Source organism: Homo sapiens, chromosome 5 (assembly GCF_000001405.40).
Source record: "Homo sapiens chromosome 5, GRCh38.p14 Primary Assembly".
Taxonomy (NCBI): Eukaryota; Metazoa; Chordata; class Mammalia; order Primates; family Hominidae; genus Homo; species Homo sapiens.
The window spans coordinates 130,526,649-130,534,070 of NC_000005.10; the positions used below are offsets into that span (position 1 = coordinate 130,526,649).

At 38.7% G+C, this 7,422-nt stretch overlaps 1 pseudogene, besides 1 other annotated feature; it reads left to right on the forward strand.

The window, feature by feature from the left end:
• ARL2BPP4 (ARF like GTPase 2 binding protein pseudogene 4) lies at nucleotides 2,760–3,446 on the forward strand (annotated as a pseudogene).
• Nucleotides 3,080–4,279: an enhancer, noted in NCBI's record as "CDK7 strongly-dependent group 2 enhancer chr5:129865421-129866620 (GRCh37/hg19 assembly coordinates)". NCBI's record gives its function as "activates an origin of replication core promoter dependent on BRD2, BRD4, P300/CBP, MED14 and CDK7 cofactors, with strong dependence on CDK7, by STARR-seq in HCT116 cells {active_cell/tissue: HCT116}" and the evidence as "EXISTENCE:reporter gene assay evidence [ECO:0000049][PMID:35650434]".

Below are 7,422 nucleotides of genomic sequence, written 5' to 3' on the forward strand. Positions count from 1 at the left end.
TACTGCTCGTCTCAAGTGAACCAGGGAATTATGCATTATGTTCCTGTTCTTCAAACAAGAAAGTCTCCTCAGCTACTCCTCAAACTCTTCCTCTCTGCAGGTGAAGGCGCTAGATTGGATTTTCTAGGAAGTAAGATAGATTTTTCTAAGTGGCTCAACCCTATAGCAACAAACAAGCCTGCTACAGCTTCACATGGTGCCTCAATACTCCTTTCAGCTGGTGGAAACTGCATTCCAAAACCAGATGAAGATTATTTACCTTAGTCTCCAACTGTTTGATCTGGAGCTTGGCCAATCACTCCTCGCCATCAGCTTTCCTCAAGCTTACTGACCTCACTGTAAGTCTCAAGTCTTTGTGATGTTTGCTTTACCTGCCATGTTTTATAATTTCAGCCAAGATTTGCAAAAATAAAAAAAAAATTATATTTATTAGGTAAGAATAACGCTTCTAAACTGAATGAATTTTTCCCAAAAAATTTGTCTCAATTAAGGCTTTCTTGATGAAGAAAATCATAGTTCTATGGGTCTAAATTACTCAGAGACTGTGAAAGATCAGGATGAGAATAGGAGAAATGAGCAAAGGGAAGCATGAAGAAAAGTAAAAGGAAGAGGAAGAACAAGCATAAAGGAACAAAGATGAAGTGGGGGAAGCTCCATGTGCTGTGTGTGAATGTGTGTGGCATGGGTGAGTGCTCAGGGACATCGGCACCAAAGAGTAAGTCATTTCTATTTTCTCAACATTTAAAATATAGACTATATACCTGATGTGCACTTGAGTGGCATTAATTGATAGTGATTTACTTTATTAAAAGTATCATATTCACCATTATGCTTTCAATTCAGTTATAAAGTTGCACTGAATGACCTGTTCATTTGGATTCATTTATGTTCAAGAGGAGGAATGAAATAGAATAAAATATAAATAAATGTATTTTCACAATTGTCATTAATTATTTTAAACTACGCAAAAATATTTTCCTTATGTCTCACTTTAGGAAAAATTCTAAATGAAAATTTAACCTCATATATTAGAGAGGAAAAATGTTTTGTCATTTAAAAATAATTAATATACTCTTTTTAAAGTAGGATAGGAAACAAGATTCTCAACACATAATGTGACTGCTCAATTTTAAACTCATATCTGCCAAGGATATTTTCTTGGTCATGTTCTCCTCTCTGAGTTCACTCTAAGCAATGCCCTTCAGTTTCACAACTTTAACTCTCACTTTGTAATGGGTAATTTAAATTTCCTCTCTAGGCCCTGAGCTCTAAATATAAACCTAGAACTGCAGCATCCCTCTTACCTAAAATCAATGTTTTAAATTTCTTCAATATTCATCTACTAGACCGGGAGTGATAGCTCACGCCTGTAATCCCAGCACTTTGGGAGGCCAAGGCGGGCGGATCCCGAGATCAGCAGATGGAGACCATCCTGGCTAACATGGTGAAACCCCGTCTCTACTAAAAATACAAAAAACAAAATTAGCCAGGTGTGGTGGTGGGCGCCTGTAGTCCCAGCTACTCTGGAGGCTGAGGCAGGAGAATAGCGTGAACCCGGGAGGCGGAGCTTGCAGTGACCCGAGACCTGCACTCCAGGCTGGGCAACAGAGCGAGACTCCATCTCAGAAAAAAAACTAGACAATATGACAGCACCACCCTTCTGTTAAAAAATAAACTTGTAATGAATCATTATTATGAAAGATTGTTCAGTCTAAACTCCCCATTTGATTCGTCAAAACTGTTCAAAGTTTTGGTCTCAGACTGTCTTTGTAATTTCCTTCCACCACTATCTTTCCTGTACATCATATTCCACACAATCTGAGGTTGCTATTTGTCATGGACATCTTGCAGTTTCTCTCTGTATGCCTGATCATCTTTACTCCATAGGGCAGCCATGGACATGTTCCCTTCAGATCTCTTTAAGAAAACCTGCTATAGGGAGCAGAGTTAACTGAAAGCCTGCAGCAGCCAGTCCTGTGAATGCTGAGACCACATTTTCCTGGGGCTACTGTTAACCAGTGACTCAGCATAGTAGAATTATGAGTGCTAGCCCATTTCTGCCCTGTGCAATATGTCTCAAATAGGCAACTTTGATTCATGGAACCCCCATGATCCTGCCTGAGACTTTCTGAGAACAATGCTACAGCCTAGAGCTCTTCCTATCTAATTCTTCCCTCTCTCCTTTTAAAAAGAACAGACATGCATCATGTTCTGAGGCTTTCTTTATCTACTCTTACACCTTCACCCTTTATTCTTCATAAGTGTCTCCCCTAATAAATGTCTAGTACACATAGTCCCATGTTGGTGTCTGCTTCTCAGAAGACCCAAGGTGACAAACACTTCTCATCTCTGTGTGTCTACTTCTACTCATCCTGCAAGATTGAATTCAAATACAATTCATCAGCAATTCTCCAATTAATTATCTGAGAGCAGCTCTTTTTCTCCTCTGATATATCCTTTCATTCCTCTTTTTATGGTATTTTATTCCTTTAAAAATGTATGAATATGGGATGTTTGGACCCACAGTGGCAGTGGCTGCTGTGCATGCCAACCTATGCATGGTGGCAGCTGGGGATCCCAAGGTTGGGCCTCTCCCGCAGGTGCTGACCTAGCTGGGTTGTGAGTGGACAGTGGCCTCAGTGGCCAGCCAGCCAGGTTGAGGCTCTGGAGAACAGAGCAGAGCCTGGGCCCAGGCCTGAGCCAGGGAAGGATGGGTGCCCAACAGCCCCTGGCCCACCTGGTGGGTAGGGCAGCAACAGTGGCCTCCTTAGATGAAGAGAGCTTTGCACTGTACTTAACCTCTAATGCAGAATTTGATGCTGTGATAGGATATTTAGAGGATATTATCAAAGATGACAAGTTCTAGTTATTAGAGAAATTTCATGGACAAGTACTACTGAGAGTTTGCAGATGCAGAAGAAAATAAACTCAACTTCATGCCTATTTTTAATGAATATATTTCTTTGGTAGGAAAGTATATAGAACAGCTGCTGGAGAGGATTCCTGGATTTAACATGGCAGTTTTCACAGCAACATTACAGCACCATAAGGATGAAGTGGCTGGTGACATATTCAACACGCTGCTCGCATTTATAGATTTTTCTGGCTTTTAAAGAAATATTTCTGGACTACAAAGTGGAAAAAACAGGCCAGGGACTGGACTTAAGCAGTGGTTTAGTGGTGACTTTGCCGTGCAAATCATCTTCTATGCCAGCTTCCCAGAACAATCTGCTGCACTAAGTTCCTGCCTCCAGGCAATGAATGGGAGCATTCTGGACGTCACTGGCCCAGTAGGCCAATAGGCTCAGCTAATTATCACAGAAGAATACATCTTAAATAGACTGACTCTGTTCTGCAACTCTTCATTCATGTTAAGTATTGATGGGTCAAAACCAAAATGATCTGACACTCCTAGACCTGTCTCTCCTGAAACACTTTTCTGTATTTTATAACCTTAGTACTCTTCCCCAAGTGCTCAGTAACCCTAGTATTCCTCCCCTCCCCAACTAGACACCTCTTTCAGGTGCTCTGAGTCAGATTCCTCTGAAGCAAGCCCATGTCAAGCATTCCACCTAGCGGGGCCCTTCCCCCAGTATATGTGTTGGTATGTCAACACATCTACCATCACCAACTCTTCTTGTCCCGGCAGGCTCTGCATGAATCTCTTTGTGCACTCACAGTTCTTTTTAGTATGAGTCAGAGTTTCGGTCCTTCAGCCTCAATGGGGCTTTTGAGTATTTGGGAGTACTTATCTAGGGTGTTCCTCAAGCCAGCTGCCTGCCTTGAGATTTCCGAATCTCCCATGTTCACAGCTTGTCTTGGCTGTAGGCATCAACAGAAACAGTGAAACTGTATCAGGACTGTTTCTGGAAGTCTTTTTGAACCATTATTTTTGAAAAAAATATAGATGAATATGCAGGCTAACCTAGTAAATATAATCTTGAAATTTCCATGATTACCCACTTAAAGATCAAAGTATCCTATGCCATGTGCTTTTTAGTTGTTAATGCTATGAAGAAAAAAATGCTTTCTATATTGGTGTTCAATTATATCTTATTGAGCACCAATGAATGTATACTGTGTGCTGGAAGCAGACCAACAGATATTCTGTTATTATAGCATGTTAAGTGTGTTTATGCATGGTTGTGGAAAATATTTTCCATATAAACCAGTTTGTTAGATTTTTCTGTTGGGGTAGGTAGGGACTCCGTGATTTCTTCTTCCTGTCAAAATCTTTCCTATCAAGATGGTGTTTCAGTAGCCTAGCTCAACATGAGTAGGAGATAGTAAACAGCTTTACTGATCATCTGTCTGCTTTGGTTTAGTACAATGTTTGGTAGAATATTATTTATCAGAAATCACATATGTCACATCTGTATAAGAAGAAGAAACATAGTTGTTCAAGCCCCAATGTGTAACTTTGATTTTTTAAAGTAAAAATAAGAATCTGTATTGAATTTGGATATTCTGGTTTTAAAGGATAAGTTACAAGCTATATATTTTTCTGTACTGATGTGTTGTTTATTTATACTTTGGTACCATGAGTAGAAAAAAATATGAATATGTTTTATGTTGAAAACTAACATAAAACCATTGTCTGCAATAATTTAAAGACAATTATCCTTATCAAAAGAGAGTAAACATATAGGCCAAGATTTGAAAAATGATTGGTGAGCTTAACTTCAAAAACCTGGGTAAGCATAAAACTAATTTGAATATCATAATGATTCCTTCATGTCTGACAGTCTCCTGAATGATATGTAGTTGTATGATTACCCATAAAATATCTTTAGTCTTCAAGGAAAATTGACATTCCAGGAATTAGTAACAAATCAATCCTGTAGATTCCCATTCTCCTTGCTCATCAGTGTAGTCATGGAACTACATGTACTCTACTTTGAGATTAATAGTACAGGACTATCATCTTTTTGGACACCAAGATTCATATGAGGATCTTCTTCTCTTCATCGTTTTATCTTTCTTTCACCTCCCTTTCTTTCTTCCCTATTGCAGCCTATCACTCTACCCTTCTCTCCTTTTCCTTCTTCCATTCCTATATTTTACTTTCATCACTTTAACGTAAAATGTAATACAGCATAAAAAGAACGCTAACGGGAGAATGACTAGGTGCCATCAGAGGACAGAAGATTATTTCTGAAGACAGGATTGAGGAGGTACATCGTGAGCTCCGTTTTTAAGAAAGATTAAAGGCCAGGTGCAGTAGCTCACACCTGTAATCCCAGCACTTTGGTAGGCTGAGGCAGGCAGATTACCTGAGGTCGGGAGTTCGAGACCAGCCTGACCAACATGGAGAAACCCCGTCTCTACTTAAAAAAATAAAAATAAAAAAAAATTAGCTGCATGTGGTGGTGCATGCCTGTAATCCCAGCTACTCAGGAGGCTGAGGCAGGAGAATTGCTTGAACCCGGGAGGCAGAGGTTGTGGTGAGCCAACATTGTGCCATTGCACTCCAGCCTGGGCAAGAAGAGCAAAACTCTGTCAAAAGAAAAGAAAAGAAAAGAAAGGAAAGAGAGAAAGAGAGAGAGAGGAAAATTTCTAGGCAAAAGTAACAACATTTGCAGTAATAGAAATAAAGAAAAGGGGACATATTACTTGCTGGTACTGGTGAAGATTTTAAGATTTTATATGTGTTAATAGATACATATTAAATCTACATAGATAATATAATACATAAGACAATAAAGTTTATGTTGCAAAGAATAGGGAAATACATCTTTTATGTCATAATAGTACATTTGAAAATTTTCCTGATAGTAATACTGAACTGATGGAGGGTTTAGGCTGGAGATAAATAATAAGATTTAGATTTAGGAAAGATAATTTTGCTGGTGATTTAATGATGGACTAGGGGAGAGGGCTTGAGTAATACCTGGCATAATACAGATAGTGCACCAATATGTATTTTAATACATAACTACATTTGCAAATAAATAGACATGCAGTCTATTCATAAAGGAATTTATTGGCATCCACTGATATGCTTAGCTCTGTAGCATTCTCAAATTATTACAAAATATTTACTTGGATATTACCTTAGCTTGGAAATTAGTTCATACATTCAAATAATATGAAATGTGGACCATCTCCATAACAGTGGTTTTAAAAAGGTAATACTTAGGGAGTGTGAATCAAGTAAGAATGTTGTCATAGGTCAATGTTAGAAAGGAATCCTGGTAACTCACAAGAAAAAGTCTGTTTATGATTGAGGCTAGCCTTGGACTGCAAAGAACTATTTAAAGGGAAATTTGGAGGATTTATTTATATTACCACAAAATTGGAGGAAAAAGCAGCAACATTATTAGTAAAGAATCCTCAAACATGCCTCCTGAAGCCCTCCTATGCCAGCACTCTCCTAGATGACTCATGTTGTCAAAAATATTATGCATTTCAGAACATCTGAAACTTCTGGTAGGACTGTGATCTCAAGCATGGCTGTAAGGGCCTCTCCTTAAGATGTGGGTGCTGCCTCATGGTGCCATGTTGGTAGCCAGTGATGGTTTTTTTAATTATTATTATACTTTAAGTTTTAGGGTACATGTGCATGATGTGCTGGTTAGTTACATATGTATACATGTGCCATGCTGGTGTGCTGCACCCATTAACTCATCATTTAGCATTAGGTATATCTCCTAAAGCTATCCCTCCCCACTCCCCCCACCCCACAACAGTCCCCAGAGTGTGATGTTCCCCTTCCTGTGTCCATGTGTTCTCATTGTTCAATTCCCACCTATGAGTGAGAATATGTGGTGTTTGGTTTTTTGTTCTTGTGATAGTTTACTGAGAATGATGATTTCCAATTTCATCCATGTCCCTACAAAGGACATGAACTCATCATTTTTTATGGCTGCATAGTATTCCATGGTATATATGTGCCACATTTTCTTAATCCAGTCTATCATTGTTGGACATTTTGGTTGGTTCCAAGTCTTTGCTATTGTGAATAGTGCCGCAATAAACATACGTGTGCATGTGTCTTTATAGCAGCATGATTTATGATGGTTAACATTCATTTCATTTGTCACCCAATAAGAATTCATCAGCTTCCTTGGTAAGTAGATACTTAGAAAACATATTTTTATTTGAGCTTCACAGTAACTCTACGAAATATCTATTATTACTCCCATTTTATAGGTGTTTACATAGTAGCTCAAAAGATGTTAAATAGTTTGCCAGTTATCACAGAGCTAGAGACATGTGGAGTACACAATAAAACCCCGGATTGACCAACTCCGATGCCTTTCTTTTAGAGCATTCTAGAATGCTATCAATCTAAACAAATGTTCATAACTCAATGTCATAGTTCTATAGATAAGTGTAAACATCAAACCTCAGGTGTGAAAGATAGGTACCTCCTATAGATAGGGTAGGGGATGAATGCATGAGCTGGATCTCACCATCCAA